This window comes from Homo sapiens, chromosome 7, assembly GCF_000001405.40.
Source record: "Homo sapiens chromosome 7, GRCh38.p14 Primary Assembly".
NCBI classification, from domain to species: domain Eukaryota; kingdom Metazoa; phylum Chordata; class Mammalia; order Primates; family Hominidae; genus Homo; species Homo sapiens.
The window spans coordinates 85,442,355-85,465,090 of record NC_000007.14 but is presented as its reverse complement, the minus strand read 5'-3'; the positions used below and the strand labels follow the sequence as shown (position 1 = coordinate 85,465,090).

General features: G+C 32.6%; 1 long non-coding RNA gene across 1 annotated transcript in view; it reads right to left on the bottom strand.

The window, feature by feature from the left end:
- Positions 1–22,736, bottom strand: part of LINC00972 (long intergenic non-protein coding RNA 972) — a 68,217-nt gene that overhangs the window by 24,248 nt on the left and 21,233 nt on the right. The window contains exon 2 of the long non-coding RNA NR_134240.1: positions 15,102–15,231. This is a non-coding gene — a long non-coding RNA (long intergenic non-protein coding RNA 972). The remainder of the gene's footprint in view (positions 1–15,101; positions 15,232–22,736) is intronic.

Genomic DNA, 22,736 nt, shown 5'->3' with positions numbered 1-22,736 from the left:
ATAAACACTGAGTAACTGGGAATTGAGGTTAGTGAGGAAAAAGGAAGGGAAGTGATTTGATTCCCAAGAGAAGAATATAGGTTCTCAGCACAGTGAGATTCTCTGAACAGTATAAATGCATCCCCATCTTACAGCTGAAAGTCTGGAAAGTCATGATAGGAATGCGCCTACCCCACTTTAATTGCATGTGCCTGCAAGGATGGATACTTTTGGGTTTGAAAATAACATACTTCATTTCTCATAAAGATGGACATAGGTAAGCAGGGGGAAAATAGATTGAAAGGGGGAAAATAGATTGAAAGGTTTGGGGTGAGAAACATAAGAGAGAGTGGAAGCTGGGAAAGTTTGTAACCATAAGAGTGCCTGCATTTGAGCAGATACCAGAGGCAGAAAAGCAAGAGCTTCCCTCCAGTGAGTTCTGAGTGATTCTGGGAAGTAGAGCAGACTGGGATTCAGCTCATATATGAGAGATTACCTGATATAATTCTAAACAAGGACATATATTCTCAAACTTTAATTTATTTACTTGATATCATTGTCCAATGCTTAGCTAGAAAAGTGACAGAAAGATTCAAGGGACATAAATTAGTTAATTAAATCTTCATTATTTTTTAAACCAGTAGAGGGACCCATTTCTCATCAAAATAATTTTTTATTTCTCCATCTTTGGAAGTCATTTTTGCTAACCATACTTGATTCCAGCCATTTTAAATTATCCCTAGTGGTGTTTGGGGCTCTACAAAAATGATGATGATAAGGGCTATGATCAAAAGGAGGAGTATCTAAGACAAAGTCTTGGGGCAGGAGCCACTGGGATAGAAAAATGAAACTAAAAAAGAAAACCGAAAAGTAGCTGGAAGCAGGGTATATGTGTGTAGGGTGGCTTAAGAAGGACAGGTGGCAAGACATTTTTTTAAAAAGATGAAATGAACTATAAGCCAATTTGAGAGTCATTATGATTATCAGGAAATCAAAGAAAAGGAGATCCAAGGATAGAAGATTCATGGGATGGCTCTGCCATGGGCCTGAGGTCTGTGGAGATAACATTTCCTCTCCTTCGAAAGGAGGTTAGAATAGAGATATCTACTTTACTAGGAGAAAAGCAGAGAAAGATGAGAAGGAATGAAATAGTTATCATAACAGGCATCTTAAGATGTAAATTATTTTATTCCTTCTAAGGTAGGACAGTATATTTCCACCTATAGGTCAAAATCCAATACTAAAATGCAAAATCAATTTAGTAGTGAGTGACCAACACTTAAAAACAAAAACAAAACAAGAAAAAACCCAACAAATAAAAAGATAATATAATAGAAGTAAATGGAAATGAAATAAAATAGAATTAAAAACTATCATCATGCACTGATGAAAATATGAAAATAAAAATTAATTTATGATAATATTTTATCAATATTATATGTATATCTATTAAAACATTTCTTATTGATAATAGGAGTAAAATATATTTTAAATATAGACTCAAGAAAGCCTCTAAGTTTTCTTCTAACTCTATGTTGTTTAGATCACTGAATTCCTGAGGACAGGGAGAGCTTATTTCAGGAGACTGGAAGAAGGGCAAAAATAGGGAAAGCAGAAGATTTCAAAAATATCCTACATACACAAGATAGAAAAATGGTGTTATAGTGACATAGAACTTTGTGTGTAGTTTTTTAAAAACTTTTCAAGCATTGTTTTTAGTTAATCCGATCAGGATATGCACTTATTTCAGAGTAACTTAAACTTTTTAGATTTATTTGTTAAGAGAAGCAGTTAGATTTTTGAATAAAGGGAAACAGAAAAAGATAAAGCAAAATTTGAAACTTTTATTTAATCCACAGCAGAGAGCAGCTACCTACTAAACTTATTAACCTAGAAAGAAGACATTCCAACTATTATATTCTTACCATCCATTAAATTGAATTTGTAAGGGAGTAATAGAAGGCTGCTGGTTAAACCAAAAATTTGTGAAAGCAGTAAAACTAAATAAGCTTTTGCTAAAATATTATATACAATTCATGAGCATTTATGTTTCACTGTACAAATGTTAATCCTAAACTCAGACACTGTCTCACCGAATGAGGTAAAACTGAAGCTTGTTAAAACCCAGACAGTGCAGCTGAACCAAGGAAATGGGGGAAAGTATAAACAAATCAAATGCTTAAACTTGAAATGAAGACGTGTCAACATAAACATAACTGTACTTCTCATTTTCCTCACATGTAATACTGGCAACACAACGGGAGCCAGTTTTGCGTCGTGTAAACTGAGCAGTGGTATTTCATTCTATTTCGGAACCTAGCAATTAGATGCTCTCTTAGAATTACTGAAGAGTGTGAACATTCATATTTTTACATTTCCATATGTATTTTTCCCATGCCAGAAAGTGCTAGTTATGTTTTCTTAAATATCTGTATCTACAATAACAGCAACAACAATAAAAAAAAGCTAGGGAATGTATCAATTATCTTTTGCTGTGCAACAGACCACCCCAAAACTTATTGGCTTAAAACAACAAGTATTTATTATTTTCACAATTCTTTAGATTGCTTAGACAGTTTTTTTTTTCTGTCTATACAGGCTCAGCCAAGGCTAAATGGTCTAGAATCATCTCAATCATATCTGACAGTTGGCAAGTTGATTAGTCTGTAAAGTCCTCATTTAAAAAGTTTTGTCATCCTCCAGGGATACTCAGGTGTCTGCACATGGAGCATCAAGATTCAATGAGCCATAAGAGAGCAAGATCTAGTGCATAAATGCTTTAAATCTCTATTAGCATCACACTTGTTAATATTCCATTGGTCAAAGCAAGTCATATGGATAAGCCACAAATCAAAGGGTGGAAGATAGATTCTACTTCTTGATGGAAGAATTGCAAGTTGGAGGAGATACAAAAAGTTACATTGCAAAAGTAAGTTTGCATAAGAGGGTAAAATTTATGGCCATTTTTGTTATTTATAAAATAAATTGCATAGATATAATTTTTGAAACAGAGGCAAAACAAAAATAGAGAACTGTAATGCTATTACAACAGCACTAAAAATATTCTTTTCTGACTTCTTTTGAATTGAAGCCAAATCTGAAGTAGGAAGTGGGACCTCACTACTAAATTAGTATCTTGATCTAACTAGATTTTTAATTTCTACTATTATACCACTAACATTTTGATATTTGACAATGGTATTTATGAAAGGATAACATTTTCTAGGTCATGACATCATTTAGAATATAACAAAAACATAGCGGTTTCATTTTCCCTTTTACTGTGACTTTTCTTTGGCAAGACACTGCCTTTTCTTACTGAAATAGGGATGGAGAGAGCATTAGTTCAAATCCCAAGCCTGCAGTTTCCTTCACCTATCAACTCTTCCCACGTTGGAGCTTTTTCCATTTATAACGCATCCTGACAATTCAGAGTTTGGTGATGAGTAAATTAGGTGTTTGATGGTGTTTGGGATTTGGGGAGTGGAGATAGGATGGTACAGAAGAGCTCTGTAGGCACCTCCAAAATTACATATATATGTGGGAAGTTACTTATTTTGCCTGAGGATAAGATGCACTTTGGACCATTTACAGTTTACAGTTCTTGATGTACAAAGCCATGCTCATTAGCGAACTTTATTGGTAATGATATGGCATGTGCAAATCTTGATATGTTAGAAACATTCTCATAAAAATAAACCTTTTTATTTATTAGGTTAGCTCTAATGAGCATAAAGGGAAGAAACCTGTGATAGAAAAGGAGGCCTCTGTCATACCCATATTCATTTTCAATGGAGTGTTTTGGGCTTTGCGTAAGTACAAATATAAGTGTGAGATTGGACCTCCTAATACAGTCAAATGCTCACAGTGTACAGTGTAGCAGCTAATAACAGCTCAAAATCTAGAGTCATCTCCTCTATCTGAATTCTAGTTTCGCCCCTTGTGAACTGGATCATTGTGGGCAACTAAGTGTTTAACTACTTAAAATCAACTTTCTAATCAGTAAAGTTGTAATAATAATAGTAAAATCAGCATGGTTTGGGAAAGATTAACATATGTAACATAATAGCATATTTTATTAGCTATTATTTGTATTATTATGGTTGTTAATTTTACTCTGGAAGACAATGGGAGAGTTATTCTTACCCCTCATTGACCATAAACAACAACTGAACATAAACATTATTACATGTATATCGTCCATACATGTAAACACTGAGATGAGACTCAATGCAAAATATATTTCCATATACTAAAATATCACAAATATCCCTAACATTTAAAATAATTCAGAAGACCAATTTCAGAAGACCCTTCCTAAATGGACATGTGCTTTGATTTCCAGTCCTAATGATCTGGTAGCTTTTCAGGTATTTGTTATTAAGATTGGTAAATAATACTATTCCTTCCAAGGTAAAATTAGATGAGCCAGAGTCTGGAGGGTTATCTTTCATAAGGTTTATTATAAAGTTATTTATTTTATATGTATTCTACATAGGGAAGTAGGAAAACAAGTATATATATATATATATATATATATATATATATATACACACACACATATATATATACGTATATATATGTATATATACGTATATATATGTATATATGTATATATACATATATATACGTATATGTATGTATATATGTATATATGTATATATACATACATATACGTATATGTATGTATATATGTATATATACGTATATATACGTATATGTATGTATATATGTATATATACATATATACGTATATATACGTATATATACGTATATATACGTATATATGTATATATACATATATATATGTATATATACGTATATATACGTATATATACACACAAACACACACACACACACATATATACACACCCTGGTAGTCTGGAAATAAATAAGTATGCTTAAAGTTGCCATACTTCCCATTTATTGTCTCACATAATTAACCAGGTGTTCACAGAAGCCAACTTTGAGGTTTCTAAATTCTTTCCATCCTCTCTGAACCCTTGGGATAACACTTACCTTAGCGAAAGATCAGATTCCTTCAGAGCGCATGAAGAGAACTGTTTATTATAAGCTATAAGTGCCAAATGATTTATTGGAAAAACAGCAAAGGTTATTGCACCCTACTCTACATGAATGCCTCAGAGTTTTGTTGTTGTTGTTGGAATTTAGCTGATTTCGTTAAAGAGAATGTAAAGTACTACTGAACATTGTAAATAAATATAAAAGTCACAATAAACAAGAGCTACCTTTTCTAAATTAGACACCTATTCTGTCTAACCAGGTAAATCAACAAATGAAAAATATTGCAGTACAGCACTTTTAGAAATACCAGAGAAAAAGCACATTAACCAAGACTTAATATCAGCCAAGTGTTAGAAGTTCAACTAGCACATTATATTGCCAATATATATGCTCAAAAAAATACATTTTGAAACATTATTCCTCCTATGCTAACAGAAGAATTTGAAAGCCATACATCGTCGATGAAAGATGAAAAACAGAAAATCTTTATATTTATAATGTTATTTTTCATAAATGTATAAGAGAAAAGTTTGATTACAGCATTTGTAACTATAGTCTTGCATTTATAATTCTTCAAATATTAACATCTTCAAAAATACTTGTTAATAATTTTGATAATGTCTCCCATAATGTCAGTGATGTAAAAAAGCATCAAGTCCTGAAAAAACCCTCAGTTAAAATAATTACTCTTTATTAAAGCTCAGGGACTTATATTTCATTCTGTCCTAGTCTGATTTCTTATAATCATGATTTGGCTTGAGTTTAAGGTACCACCATTAAGATGAAATTAGCACATTTTTACTTACAATTGTCTTGAAATTTATAGAACAATCATCTTACTTTAAAGTTTAGCTTTATTTCCAGTGGAATAGAAAAATCATATGCATTGTTCATAATATATTTGTTATGAAAGTAATTTATTTTAACACAAGAGTATTAAGTGTTGAAGTAGGGAATAAGCTTATTTTAATATTATTCTATTAAGATAAGCTCAATTTTTAAAAAATGTTTGTGTTTATGATAGAAAATTAATTTCAGAGATTTATCTTCTTAATCAGTTCCAATAACTTACTAATATCCTTCAAAAATATTACTAATATTTCAAACAGTAACTATAAATTGTTTTATAAACAGCCTTTCAAATTAGCTTCTTGTTAACTAACAATAATGATTTAGAAAACGGGCAAATATTTCTACCTTATACATAAGATAGATGACTTCAACTCTAAATCTTTTCACCTAAAATCTACTTGATTTGCCATTAAAAATAATAAAATAAACTGATTATTTTAGTAATTATTTTTACTCTTATCTATGTTAAAATATAAATAAAATGAAAATGCATAAATGCATATATATCACAACAATAATTTTCAAGATTTTCTGATATATTGTATTGTAATAGGATGATAAGTCTTCTGTATGAGTGCCTAAATGGTTGTGTTAAGATGATTGATATATTTGGTAGCATTAACGCTTAATTCTAATCTTGATTTCAGAAAGTGACAAAGAGATTTCAAAGCTGGTTTTAATTCATGATAAAGAGCAGCCCACATGCACTCTGACTAAGGGTATGGAAGGCTGCTTATGGTTAAAGAAGAGATAACGTTGATATTTACATTTTGCAATCCAACTGAGTTTATTAACATTTAAAATATTTTATTTTGGCATTTTTTTCATATTAAATGTTGAAGTTTTCTTATAATGTCAATTAGACAGCAACTAGACACCAACATATCAAATATTTTGGAGAAATATTATTAAGACAGAGGATGGAAAGGTTAATTTTATTACAAAATTGTGCAATCTCCTTTGAAGGCTTAAAAAATTGGCCCCAAGTCTTCACCCCTATTCGTGTTTACATCTTAGCAACAGCACTTTGACGTTTTTCCCATCATGAAGTGGAGTCTGTTTCCCCACTTTCCCCACCACTTAGTTCTGGATTGGTTTCATGATGTATTTGATTAGTAGACTTTGGCAGAGGTGATACGGTAGCAGGGATAAGCCTAAGCCTCAAGAAATGTGAATGCCTCTGCTCTCTCTCTCTCTTGGATTCCTACCATTCTGTGAGCCCAAGCCCAAGCTACCTTGAAGATAATAGACTATGAGAAGTGCTGAGTGCCTCAGCCAATAGCCGTCTTTCCTCAGAAACAGACCACAGATGCCTGAGGGTGCCCAGTCAGATCAGAAAATCAGGCCAGCTAAGTCCGGCATAAGTAACCCACCTATAGATTTGAATAATGTTTATTATTGTGTGTTACTGAGCATTATGGTTGTCTTATAGCATTATTTTGTTACTAGATAACACATACATTCCAAATCTATGTCATGTTTTGTTACTTTCTTCCAATTTTCTTCATGTTGATCTCTCATTATCTGAGAGGACTGAATTGTGTGGATAAAGCAATGCTGGCTAGAAAAAGAGAGAATTAGGACTAGCCCCCAAGTTTTCTATATGTGCAAACAAAGAAAATATATTCCAATTTCCAGGGTCTCCTTTTCTTCGTCTGTATGATGTATATGTATTATGTGTTGTGAATGATGGAAGTGAAATGAAACGTTTCATGTCTCAGTGTTCCACTGCTCTAATATTCGATGATTCCATGATCTTAAGCTAAACAGGTTCTAAACTTCTTACACAACTGTGCTATTCATGTTCTCACAAATTAATCTGACAAACCAAAGCAAACTGTTTTTAAAGATAAACAAAAATACACTCTATAATAGTTTCCACACAATAATTTAAATAGTAAGAAAATTACTTATTAAACTTCTTTCTTTAGGCCAAGGAATGCTAAGTGGTTTATATATGTCATCCTAAGGAATCTTTTCAACAAAAATGTAAGATAGTTACTACCATTCTCTATTTTACTGTAACAGAGAAACTGAAGCTCAGAAGAGTTAATCAACTTCTCTAAGTTTACTCAATAAATGGCAAAGCTATATTTCAAACACATGTCTGACTCTGACCCAATGTCCACCTATCCACCTATAGTCAAACAAGTGTTTTTGAGGCTTGTCTTAAGTGCATAGCTGACGACTTGTCAGATATTAAGAAATATTATTTTTCAATGACTCCAGAAGTTACACGGTTTACCTATGTGTGAGCAAAGCTCCTACCAGACCATAATTAAACATTTCCTGATTCAGTGATGCATTATTTCTTTGGTAATTAAAGAATACTTCTAAATCAGGATATGCAGGGGGAAGTGATACAACAAAAATAGTGATACTTAATGGTTCTCTCTGTGTTAAATCAGTTTCCTGAGTAAAAGTTGTAAAAAGCAGAGTTTGTGCCCCCCAAAAGATAAGAAACTTAATCAAGTGACAGTCACTTTCTTTTCTTTTTAGTACAATATCATACAAGATATAAGTGATTTTGTGATGATAGTATAGGTATTTATTAAACACCTATTCTGTGATGAGGATAGGAAAGTATAATACATAGTCTATCCTCAAGGATGTCATCATTTTTTCAAGATTAGATACACTTTGGATATACCACATTGGTCCCATGAACAAACTTGGCAAAGAGAAGTCAGCCTATCTCGATAACATGGGTGGGGGAACTGAAAATGGCCATGTGGTCTTGAATTGGGAATTGTGGATAGGATTTAGAATCTATAGGCTATGTCAGGAGAGGACACTAGAGACCACATTTTCAAATCTCTTTCTTTGCAGGTAAGGAGATTGGTACCCAGGAAATATAAAGATAGGGCAAAAGTAACAGCCTACAAAAGGTTGATTCTATCCATACAAAAGCAGGAAAAAAAAACACTAATAGAATAATCAACTTCAAGACATACTAGTACATATTTTTATGTAATTATGAAAATTTACTTTTATCTGGTGAAATAGGAAATTTGGATTATACTTGTCAATATATAAAATTAAAATCTTTTATAACTCTCTCAATGTCATTTATGGCTCTTAAGAATGAGTTGTCACTTGAAAAACTATATAATTATTGCTTATCAGAAAAGGAAAAGTGTTTCAAAGAGACAAATTTTTTTCAGAGATATTTTGGCTCTGAAAAGTTACAGGTAGACAGAAAGATAAGTTTTCCTCATTACAACTTAGAAAAACAGAGGTTTTCTACAGTTTACATCTCATTTGGCCATGAGATAACAATTAAAATTATAACAAATTTCACTATTTATATTTTCAAGTAACATATTATTAAGTTAGTTACATCTAAGTCAATTAAGAATTTTACAAAGTAGACCAACTTTCTGACAATTTATGTTCTTTCCTTTTCTCTGCTCCCTCTCATTTTCTTTTGTTAAATTAACTAGACAAAATATCAAACTAATATATTTTAACAATTGTAGTTATGTTTTTGCATTATTATTAATTACATTTATTTTATTAGTCTCAAAAATCAAATTTAAGTATTTTTTTGCTAATGTAGTCCTCAAGATTCTTAACTGGAAAAACTGTTTCCCTATGAATTATATTCTACATGTTTGCACTACAGCTAAATAAATTCCTAAATCTAGGGCCTGAGAATTTTCTAATTTAGTGGTACTAGTATTTAATAAAAATACTTAGTAGTAAAGCATTTTCATTTAGTTACTTACCAACCAAAGAATAATAGCCTTACCTTGTTCATGTGTTTAAACTAACCATTTAACTATGTGTTTGTGTGTGTGTGTGTGTGTGTATGTATATATACATAAAACCACATATAAAACTGTATATGTTTTAATATATATGGTGTGTATATATGTATAAACATTATGTTGTTCACCTTAGGTAAGAAAAGTAAATAGGGAGTACTCCACAGGAAAAACAGAAAAAGAAGAAAGAATTAGTAAGCAGTTCATCCAGTTAAAAATACAGTCTTTTTAAAAACAAATGTAATTGAAAAAAGTGCTCACTTTTAAAAAATGGAAAAAATGTTCAATTAGACACAAAGGACACAATATTTTTTGGCATGTATTACATTGAGGAGTTTATCTTCACATTCTTGGCAACAATGATGATGTAGGTTGTGGTTAATGATAAGAGAATTAGCCAAGCTTTTTGCTGGCCAAATACTGAACAACATAGCAACATCTAAGTTTCATGCATCAGCAAAACCAAAAATTAGGGACAATTGAGGATAACTTTGGTTTCTTTTTGATGTGTAGATTCTCTGTGCAGTCAGGGCAATGGAACACACAAGTTTTTGAATCATGTAGATTAATTCATCAGAACATTGTTTTGTGAGTTTTACTTCAAGAGGTTCACTGAATTTTTGTTTATTGGTATTGGAAAGGTTTAAGTATCTCTTTATAGAAACTGGAGGTCAAACTATTTTAGTTCATTTTTCTCCAAAAGCCAATACGAGACAAAGACAAACAAACATATAATTTGTTTGGGAGGTGATCTTAGGAGATATGAATGAGGGACAGATGAGATAAGTGAGATGGGAAAAGGAGAAAAGCCAATAAATGGTACATTAATGAGAGGGTTACTGCTACAGATAATTGATGCTCCACTCTATTGGATCGCCTCTAAGCTATTGTGTGGACCATACCTTCAAACTGTCCCACTGAACAATAGGAAGGCTGGGGGTTTATCCACCTAGTTTTTCATCTGTTAAGGATTTACCCTGGGTATATTAAGTTTAGTGCATTTTTGGTTGCAGAGCTGAAGAAAGACTAAGATGGGGAAACAAAGTGATGCAGGTATTTGCAGTGAAGTTTTGTTAGGACAAGGCTGAAAACTTCTACTTCAGCTACAGAGGGAGAGGGATATAAAGGTGGGATTCAAGAATCTTCTGCAACGTTTTTCTAATATTTGACTTCCAAAATATTTATGTTGGGATCAAAACACAGAATCCATGAAATTTTAGGAAATACTCAGAGTGAATAGAGTATCCACCTTTTATACTAGAAAAAAATATGGCAACATGATATTTTTCTGAATGCTTCTGAACAATTCATTCAGTTCCCATGAAGAGTCAGTCTTAATATTACAAGCTCAACTTTTATTTCCTTCATTTAAAAACTAAATAAGAAACTTTATTAACTCTTTAAAAGTAGCTTTAATTTAAACTCTGTGGGAATTATAGACTACCTGTATATTGAGATCCAAGATATTTCAGTAATGTTAAAGTTTATAAATATATGTTGAGTAGAAAGCTAAAGCTAAATGTATTTTATGAACTATTACTTAAAGGGATATATGTATAATATTTATAACTCATAAAACATTGACTTGAGTTGCTTATAGAATGTTAGACATATACATATATATGTTTTTTCTTACCAGATCTAGAATATCAGATAAAAGTCAAGTATTTAATTTGGCAGATCTTATTGATGTGACCTAACAATTTTATAAAACAATCTTAGAGACTGTAAAGCAATTAACCCATTCTTCTGACCTGAAAAATTTGGACTGTGGGAAATGGCAGGTCAGGAACTACCCACAATGGCAGAGCCATTTGGTCATGGTCTGTTAGTATACCCTACATAAAAAGCCTGAAGATAACACTGATCTTCATCTCCTTTTCATTTCCATCTCTTTTTTTAATTTAAAAGAATTGTGTGGTGCTTGTGTGTATTTATATGAAATTTTGCTCTTATTCTATTTTTATTCTTTGGTAGTATTACGTAGTATGTACCTTGATATTTCATAATGTTCAAAAATATCACAAAGTTAGAACAACAGCTTCTCTTTTGCTCAGCTATCCACTGGTTAACCAATGGAAGTGTAGTTTTGTAAATGAACTTTACAATTGGGGCCAATATTTTGGAAACAGAGAGTCTAGCCATTGTGTCTCTTGAGACTGCTTGTTTACATGCCTGCACAGTTTATTAGTAAACACAGCTGAATAACTAAAATTCTAAGCGGATTCCCAAACAAACAAATTGACTTTAGTTATCATGACACTACGTTCACCCTCCAGTGGATCCATTTTCTTTCTTATTCAGAAAACTGAGCATTAAACTGAGTGATGGTATATTTCATTGAGGTCTTTTTTAGACATAACAACTGTACCTGCCCAGGAAACTATTGCCTGCTAATTAAGCTTTGACCTCTGGAAACATGATAAAAATTTTGGCTTTTTTGTCAATGGTTCAAATTCTAAGGGAAGTATTCAATTAATATTGTCAAGCTACATGATATAGAAAAAACTTTTTTGTTGACTCAGAGTTAAATTATGTCAAAAAACACCAGCAGGAGATTGTTATAAACCAGTCTGGACTTTCTCAACTCAGGCTTTCTGGTAGCAGATTCATTTTTACAATGTATAAACTGAATGTAGTTGGCAAATCAGTTGCATCCATTACTGTTGGGTCTGGAAATATATCTACTTAAGCATATTTATTTCATATTTTCTCCTGATCTATTCCATATTCAAGTAATAATTTATTTGCACAAGTGGATAAAAACAGCAAATCTTGACAGGGAGTAATAGTGGGAGGTTGTTTAGGAAACAAAACACTTTAAAATAGCACAGCTGTTCTGATATTGTTATCATGTCAGCTATTTTTGATGGTTAGATGATGGTAAGAGTCAGAACAAATTTTCAACACAACTATTTTGCTAGCCATGTTTCAGCAATTGTGGTATGCATTTATCTTTTGATGCGATGCACCCCACATGTACACTCTAAAAAGATGCCAATAAGATGCATGTGCTCTTCAAAAGATAGAAGCTCATGAATGCAAATCTTGATACGTTTTGCGCAAGGGTAGGAAACTAGACAGATGCAAGTGTCCATACTCAAGGAAGTTTATTAGGCATTTTAGATAGAATAGCTTATATTTATTTTCTAAAGCATCTGAGACTAATGGAATTGATTCATACAAAGTATCAGAAATATTCTGATCCCAACTTCTTTGATTCCCTAGCCATTTGCCCTTCAAACAGCATTCTTACTCCACAGAGACACAGAGGTAAAGACTAAGAACACGGGCTCTTGAGCTGAACAAACTTGCATAATTATTCCTAGCTAGGCAACTCACTTCAACTTTCTATGTCTTTTTCTTCATTTATAAAATGTTTATTATAATAGTCTCTACATAAGGGAGTTTAATTAAGTCTTAATTTACATGAATAAATTAAGAATAGTGCCTGGCCTGTAGTAAGTGTTTGATATATTTGTTATCATTGACATAAAACATTTCCATTGCTTATCTTTTAAGCACTGCTGACTTCATATGTAATTATACTCTTCTCTTGCCTACTTAGTGTAATTTAAGGGGCTAATGTGAAAGGCCAGTTTGCCACCAAGTCATTTTTGCAGTTTTACCATATCAAACATTAAAAAAAAATTAAAAATTAGAGGCCTGATTTTTGGGGAAGGCAATACAAATGCATAAATCCACTGTTAAAATCTGTGTGTGAATCAATTTCTAGTCTTTATCATACTTGAAAATAAATTAGTTGATTAAAATAGAGCTAATAGGAAATAACCTGGTCAAACTTTAATCTTTTCTTTAACTATCTATCTACATATATCCTACTAATTCTTTATTACAATTGTTTATATATTCTCTCTTTCTTAGCAAAACTCCTAGAGTGTAAAAGCTGTATCTAAGTCATCTTTGAACATTTATACCTTATACATATCTATTCAATAAATATTTGTTGAATTAAACATAAGGCATATATGTTAAAGGTAAAGTATAGCAGGGAAATATAGAATTATAGGACATAGGTATTATAGGAACGGAAACAGTGCTAAGATTGCTTGAAAGGAGAGAAATCAGAGGCAGAGAAAGAATATACGAGGACCATGAATTCTGGAAACCTAAGTGCTGACAGGAAGGAGCTAGGAGCTAAGAAACATGTATACACATATTTATTTTATACATGGGGGAATTGGCTTAAATATCTTGCATTTTTAAGGCATTAAGGTGATGTTGTTCATCAACATGTAAAACCTTGATGTACTGGGGGCTGGGCTGGCAGAGTGAAAACTTTACTATTTAACATGATTAAACTGCTCCAAAAGAAGTAACAAAAGAACAAGGGGCCTATAACTGTGTCTGTCAGCCATCTGTCAACAAACAAAAGTTTGTGTAATTGTTTTCTCAGAGTTTTTTTTTTCAGATAACAAGGCTGGATAATTTCACTGTTGCTGAACATTTTAGAAGATCGTAAAGAGCGTCAGAGAATATACAAATTTTTATGTTCAACATGAGCTATTCTCAAGTTCATAAAGTCAAAACCCCTCTGAATCCTAAACTATTTGTTTCCTACAGAGTGGTGACAAAATATCATCCCTCCCCAAAAATGGTAGAGAATTATGATTTCTACCTTCAGAAAATCTGTGGATTTATTTGTACTTAATAGAGAACAAGAAAACAAATAGTCGAGGGTACAGTGTAAGAGAGTGAGTCTGAAGAATCAGGGTCAGCATTACAAGCAAAATTACCTTTCTGCAGAGAATCACACAATCATTCAATAGCAGAGATCCTAGAGGTCTTCTCTGGCAGTGCTCTCATTTTTCTGATGATGAAATTAAAGTCTCCGAAATAAAATAAATCATCTAAGTTTTAAGAGTATAAGTCAGTCTCAGAACTCAAAACTGAGTTTATAGTCCAAGCTTACCCATTACAGTAGACTACAAAAATTATAAAGAAAACACTGGGAAAGGAAAAAGAAAAAAAAAAAAAGACCGTCTTCCAGACACCAAACAAAAGAGTCTCTACCAAGAGTGTCACTAAAGTAATTTGCCTAACTAAAGGGAAAAAATGAGATATGCCAGCCACAATAATCATGGCCCTTAGTAGGCAAGATCCTGACAGGAAATCAGTGGATGAGAAGTATCAATTTTAAGTTACTGCAAGGAAAATTTGTATATTTAAACCTGAATTAAGTGACTTGTCCTAGCTTTATATTTATTGTGCAGTAGTTTAGTTGCATATCTGAAGCATCACTGAGTTGTAGTGGAACATGCAAGCAAGGAAGATTACTATGGGGCATGGCAGAAAAAGAGGAAAAAAAACCAGTTTCAAGAGTTTGAGTTTACTGTTGGTAGTAGCAGCAAAAAGGCATCACAAAACATATTTCAGATTTTCCATCACGGCATGTCATTTATCTGGATTGAAGGAGGAAACGAAAAGAGAATTCTGTATTAGAAAGTTAAGAATCACCTTGAGTCTTCATTAACTCCTTCCTTCCTTCTTTCCTTCTTTCCTTTCCTCCTTCGTTCCTTCTTCATTTTCTTTCTTCCTTTCTTTTTCAACAAATATTTATTGAAAGCCTTCGGCAGAGACATTCAAGCTGTAAAACCAACACAAATCTCAGCATTCATGAAGCTGGCACTCTGGTTGAGAATGTACATTCTAGAGCAGTTCTTACATTTATTTCTTTTACAAATGTAGAGAACAATCTAGAAGGCTTCCCCAGGTTCTAGTCAACTCTGAATTCTCAGAGTTGTTTTTGTTTTGTTTTGTTTTGTTTTGTTTTCAGATGGCCTCTTGCTCTGTAGCCCAGGTTGTAATACAGTGACATGATTCTCTCAGGGTTCTTGTTAGGAACTCTACCAAAGGGAGAAAGTCTGTTCTGATAGTATTTCCCCCAAATCGTTTTTAAAGTGTAGCTGATACACCATTATTCTGGAGCTCATGTCGAAAGTACAAATTTCTGAGCCAAGCCCCAAATCTGTCAAATTAGACTCACTAAGAGAGGGTAGAAGAATAAATATTTTAAGTAAGTTCCTCATGTACATTTTCATTAGGTACAAGTTTGGGATACTGTTGCTTTACGGAGAGATAAAACCGTTGATTTCAGTGAATTAACCAAGCCATTCATTTTAAATACAATTAACTCATATAGGCTATTTAAAGATGGTCTTAAAATAATGTCTGGTGATCGAATTCATGTTTTATGTTCTACTCGTTGGTCCTGGTTAAATACAAGAAAAGTCTTAACTCAATGTTCACTGGCTACATATATTTAAAAAGACAATAGAAGTATAGATGATAACGCTAACTTCTTTCTGGCACCATAATGAAAATTACATATTTTTGAAAGTAGAACATGCAGCTTGATTCATTAAAGGGTGAAATATGTTTACATTTTTTCCTCTTTTAGTACCATGCAAAAAAATTAATATGATTTTCCATTAGTCAATGTCTTAATATTATAATGGAGTAAATGGTCCCCATTTGTATTTTATCTACTTCCATCTTTACTTGCTTTATTTTTATTTTGATTCTTTAAAATCCTAAAGAAAGACCATTACCAAAAATTTTACTATAATGTTGTTTTTACTATTCCTCTACTGATTTATAATAAACATACAATAAGAAGCAATAGCCTTGTGAGTATCTTTTCATAAAGTTGACCCGTACTCAGCTACAACTCCAAACCTATATAGCACAGTATTTAATTACAGATATTCTAGAGGAATTCATTTTTGTGTGTTTTTTGGGGTGGGGAAAAGATAGGAATATGTATTCTGAAAGTAAATGCGTATAACCAATATTAGAGATTAGAGAAATTTAAATCAAGACAACAATGTGCTACTGTTTAATTTTCGTAAGTTAAGAAGTTCAACAATAAAAAATGTTGGAAAAAAACATTGGTATTAATTGTATATTACTAGTGTGAGTGTAAATTGCTACAACTACTTTGAAGAACAATTTGGCATTATCTTGTAAATTTTAATATTTGTATATTCTGAAACAAGCAATATGTCTCCTAGATTGGTACCTAAGGGAACATATGTGCACCAGAAGACCATAAGAATATTTATATTACCATTTCATTAAGACAATAAAACCTTGAAAATACCCAAAAATCCATCGATAGAGTGGATGAATAAATTTTAGTGTATTTAGAATTAAATATTTTTTTAAATGAAAATTAATTTGTTAATGTAAGATTACACACAATATACTATTTAACTTCAAAAACATGCAAGACTTAAAATATTATATTATTTATATCATAAAACACTCTAAAAATAAGGGACAAGCTTAAACCCTGCCTCTACCGAAAATACAAAACTTAGCCAGGCATGGTTGCATGTGCCTGTAGTCCCAGCTACTCAGGAGGCTGAGGCAGGAGGATAGCTAGAGTTAGGGAGGCAGAGGTTGCAGTGAACCAAGATCATGAAACTGTACTCCAGCCCAGACAAAAGACTGAGACCCTGTCTCAAAAATAAATACATAAATAAAAATAAGGGACATGCAAACATAAAATGTGGGGTAGAGATTACTCTTGGCAGGACCAGGTGGCTGAGGCCTGTAATCGCACACTTTGGGAGGCCATGGTGGGAGGATTCCTTGAACCCAGGAGTTCAAGACTTGCCAGGGCAACATAATGAGACTTCATCTCCACATAAAAACATTAAAAATTAGCTTGGAATGGTGGTAAGTGCCTATAGTCCCAGCTACAGGCTGGGGCCAGAGGGGTGAGGCGGGAGGAACACTTGAACTCAGTAGATCAATGCTGCAGTGAGCTCTGATTGCACCACTGCACTACAGACTTAGCTACAGAGTGAGATCCCATCTCAAAAAAAAAAAAAAAAAAAAGAGGCAGAGATTCCTCTTGGAGTAGAATTGGTTGGCAGGGGGGTAGGGGTGGGGAATTCTAGAGGAATTTAAACAACTTTTATCCATTGCAGGCTATTGTGTATGTATTAACAGCATCATACATTACCTATATTTCAGGCGGAATATAGGAAAAGCATAATTATCAGAATATACACTTTTGTGAGAATATGCTGATATTAATTTACTAAATATAGCATTGCAAGATGATCCTTCTACTGAAATGATATTCAAAGATAAATTATTCATTTTTTTCTTTGTGATTCTCAAGAATGTCAGGTGTCATCATGAATACTAAAGGTTTGAAAAAATGCTGTCTATAATGTTTATGTTCTTGTCAAATATCACTTGGAGGAATGCCTTTGCACAAATCAGTGTGGTAAATTATACTCTGTGTCATGATTGAGGACAGGCCTGGACACAGTCTATTTAAATAAGCACAGATGAGACATTAGGGGTACAGCTGGCCTGGCATTGAACTTATAAAATGAGCACAATGGATATTTGGTAAATGAAGTAAGCTGTAATCTCTTCAGGAAGTCATGAGCAGCAGAGAGAATGCGATATCCTAAATAGTTCAGAAAAGGCAAATAAAAATTGGTGGGCATTGCAGAGGTGAAGAAGGTTACATACATAAAGGAATAGATTATATTTTCATCAGTTAGTTTAACATGACAGTGGGGGACCGGTGAAGAGAAAACAATGTATAATATAAGAGGGCAGATAAGTTATTGGCATTAGAACAATTATGGCATCCGTAACTACAACTCAATAATCTGTTTAGGGTTCAGGAAAATAAAACCAATCTCTAGGTTGATGACAGAAAACAGAAATTTATTTATCAGATACTTATTAATGAATACATATTGTGTTTTAGGCAGTAAGTAGCAAAGACAGGTAAGGTTTTGATCCTAACAGAACAGGGATAGTAGAAAGAATCCCAAGACATGGACTTAGACACAAGGAACCCAAAAAACATCTAGTGGCACTAAGGCAGAGGTTCTAACAGGTGTCAGTGCTGCTGTTCAGAGCGCTGAGGCCATACGTCCATCTCATGATGCTCCTGGAATAAAACTTCCATTCCTTTATTATTTTTAGAATTCTCAATTTCTTATGTGGAAAGTACTGTGCTTGCTTGTCTTGTACTTTCAATTTTGTGCTATTTCTTTTTCATATGTACATCTTCCATCCCTGGAAATATTGTGAAAAACAGAACAGTATATTTTGGTCTTACCAGAAGTTCTCAACTTCTCTGAGCCTCAGTTTTCTTCACTGTAAAATGAGTATAATTCCCACCTCACATTTTTTTTTTCTTGGAAGAATTAAATGATCCAATACAAGTGAAAGTATGTTACAAAGTTAAGCCTTATAGCAGTTATGGGAAATGGCTGTTAAAAGTTATTTTCTCAGATGACATATATGAAAGAAAATATTCAAATGCATTTTATAAATGTATTTCCTGACAAAAAATATATTTTTTCCTATATAAATGGTTAATGATAATAACATTTGCATGTCAGATTCAAATTTACTTTATATTGGTTGTTTAGATTCAAGAACCCTTGGAGTCTTACGATGAAGTCATTTCAGATTACATTAAAAAAATCCATAATTATAACATTTGCCACATTGCACTAGACAATTAATTTGTTACAGGAGGCACATGGTAATAATTTTAAACAATAACTATGTTGTAAATGAGTATGCAATGCAATACAATACAACCAAAAGTAAATTGAACTTCTATCCCTTCCAGAACTAAGGACTCCTTACATAGAGCAATCCTATAAGTTTCTTATATATATCATCCAGCAAAATTCTGTATATTTAAAACATAGTAACTGGATCTTGTTTAAGATCTCTTGGCATTATCACCTACTTTTAGCTGGGCATGTTGGCTCACACCTGTAATCCCAGCATTTTGGGAGGCTGAGGCAGGCAGATCACATGAGGTCAGGAGTTTGAGACCAGTCTGGCCAACATGGTGAAACCCATCTCTACAAAATACAAAATTAGCTGGAAGTGGTGGCAGGCACCTGTAATCCCAGCTACTCAAGAGGCTGAGGCAGGAGAATCACTTGAACCTGGGAAGCAGATGTTGCAGTGAGCCAAGATCACGCCACTGCACTCCAGCCTGGGCAACAGAGTAAGACTCTGTCTCAAAAAAAAAAAAAAAAAAAACAAAATCACGTGATTTTGAGCTAACTTGATTTAGAAACACTAAAGTGAAATAATAAGTTCTAAGTGCAAATTTAATCAATTGCTCTCAAACGTTATACCCTAAATATTAAAATAATGTAAGTAATACACAATAAATAGAATTTCTAAATGTTGAAATGATACAAGTCTATGATAACATAGTATATTAGATGTTTACTTCTTACTGAAAAACTATTATTCCCTGACATGAGTGTTCTCTCAGCATACATGGCTGAGACTCGTTGAGCATTTAATGAAACATGGTGTATGTGTGTTCAGGTCGTGAACACATGCATACATTTTATTAATACATGGGTGCCCATGTGAAGATGTAAATTCACATGAAGACCCATGACACATTATAATAAATTCAAATACGTTTTAATGTGGTTTACAGTTGGAGACGTTTATTTTAAGGTCTGGAGAAAAATGAGAAGTCCTTTGCCAATTAAATTTGAAGCATGAGTTAACATATTACTGGTCTCTAATGTATTAATATGCAGTAAATTATAAATTTGAATGTTTTCATATAATTTTAAGTTATACACACACACACATATGTAGTATTCATAAAATTCAAAGCGAAGTCTTAAAATCCTTGTATTGCTCCTGATAACCATAGTTTTCCAATAATTTGGTTTGAAAACACTATGCTTCACCATTATTTTTTTTTTTTTTTTTTTTTTTTTTTTTTGAAACAGAGTTTTGCTCTTGCCGCCCAGGCTGGAGTTCTATGGTGTGATCTCTGCTCACTGCAACCTCTGCTTCCCAGGATCAAGGGATTCTCCTGCCTCAGCCTCCCGAGTAGCTGGGATTACAGGCATGTGCCACCACGCCTGGGTAATTAATAGCATTACCCAAGTTTTTGTTAATTCTGTTGCTATTCATTTTTAATTTCTCAGGTTCAGAGTTAATGTTTTAGACCTACCTTGTATCTACTATGACTTTTTATCTCATAGGAATTTTTAAAATAAATGTAGTAATTATTCAGTTAATTAATGCCATATAAATGAATCTGATGCTCACATGACCTTACCTTTCTTTTTTATTTATAGCTATATGGTCCAGTTTAGCATACCTCTGTCATACCCAGTTGTAGCAAATATTCATTGTTATTTCCACAAAGATCTCCCTGTATTATAATGTTAAAAATAAAGCCTAATCAGACAAATACGATGACTAATAAATTAAATATATTGATGTATTCTTATCCCTATTCAATTATTCAGTTAAGGGATTGTAAAGTACTAACATAATAATCACAGGTAAATGCTCATGGTGCTTGCTTATTGTGGTAAAATTTTTATGTAGCGATATTTATTAATGATTCAGCTGCAATTCTATTTCAAAATAACCATTTTTAAAAAGGAGACAATACTGTTTAAGCAACAGATTGTGTCTCTTTTTGTAACTATAATAACATTTTTATACATATGAAGAGGTAGACCATTAGAGGGGTCTTTCACATAATTTTTACATGGGAAAATTCAAGTCTGGTGTCTTTGAGCATCTATGCGTATGATAGTTTAAAAGAAAACTTTTAAAGTATTGTCAAAGAACCCTGATTTCAAACAGTTGTACTTGATAATTAGTATAATCTGGATTTAAGTGGTTCAAGATTCGGTATGAAGGAAAATGAAAAAGCATGTCTATAAATACTTGAATTACTGTGGGAACCAATGAATGCTATCCACTAACACAGTATTACTTATTTGTCTAGTGGATCAATCAGGCAGAGATCTACTACAGAGATATGTGCAGGCCCTTCTTCCCTGTGTTTATATGTAACTCAACATCTTATATCAGCTGGTGCGTGGAGGCCTCAACAAAAGGGCCCTGAAACATCATTTTTTAAATGTAAGTTGATATTTCTTGTCTCTCCCTGAAGACTGCCCCAAGACTGGAATTAATCCCTTCCTTTTATGTAAGAGATGTCTTCAGAACTCAGTGTGAGGCGCAAAAAAATTAACAAACAACTCTTTGGAATTGCATTTTATAATTAAAAATGGTCTTTTTCTTCATTTTCAGAGAATTGAATTCCCATAATAATTAGCACTCTCAAGTATACTTCTTTTAAGAATAGTAACTTAGCAATCATGAATATAACACTAATAAATAGTTTGAGATACATGAAATAATAAGTTAGCGGTGTGTGTGTTTGTGTATATATGTGTATATACAACTTTCATTTTCTGAATTTTTATATTGGTCTATGTATATATTTTTAATATCCAAGTCACTTTTCATGTGTTGTTATTAATATTCTTATCTAACAGCATATGATTGAAGGAAGTTGTGGTGCATGTTAACTAACTTGCTAAACAGCAACAACAAAAAGAAATAATCAAAAGAAACTAGAATAACTCAAATGGCGATATAAATTATATACATCAATTTACACAAATTATGTCTAAAAATAATCAAAATCACTTAAGTGTCTAACAATGCGGAGCCTCCAGTGGGAATTAGCTCAGTCTAGACATATCTGTGATCTTAGCTTGAGCAATCTTAAGACTGTTACCTTCCTTTTCCTAACATTAAACATATTATTTTCTTTCTTATATAAACTTTTGTCCCTAGATACTTAGATGTATTTTTAGCTTTTTAAATACTCATTTATTGAATTGGTTAGGATGTTTTAATAATGAAAGGGGAGAAAGATAGAAAGCAGAGAAAGAGACAGAGAACAAAACCAAGCAGAATTTTCCAATAATTTCCAAATTGTGTATTGAAACCTATTACTTTTAGGTGTTTTTTGAATCTTTTAATTCTTTAACTAAAAATCAAGTGTTTTAAAGTTTTTTGAAGGAAAAAATAGAGAAAAGGGAGAGAGAGAGACTCAGACAGAGAAAACCATGACAAAGAATCAGAGATAATAAATTTTAAAACATCATTCAAGCCAGGGATTATGTCATCTCCATAACATCTTTCTAAATTGGTAAAGCCCCAATAATTTTAATCCAGTTTTGGTAAGATTTATTTTACTTGTGATTAAATAGTCTGGATTATTATTCACAGTCAATGGGGGAT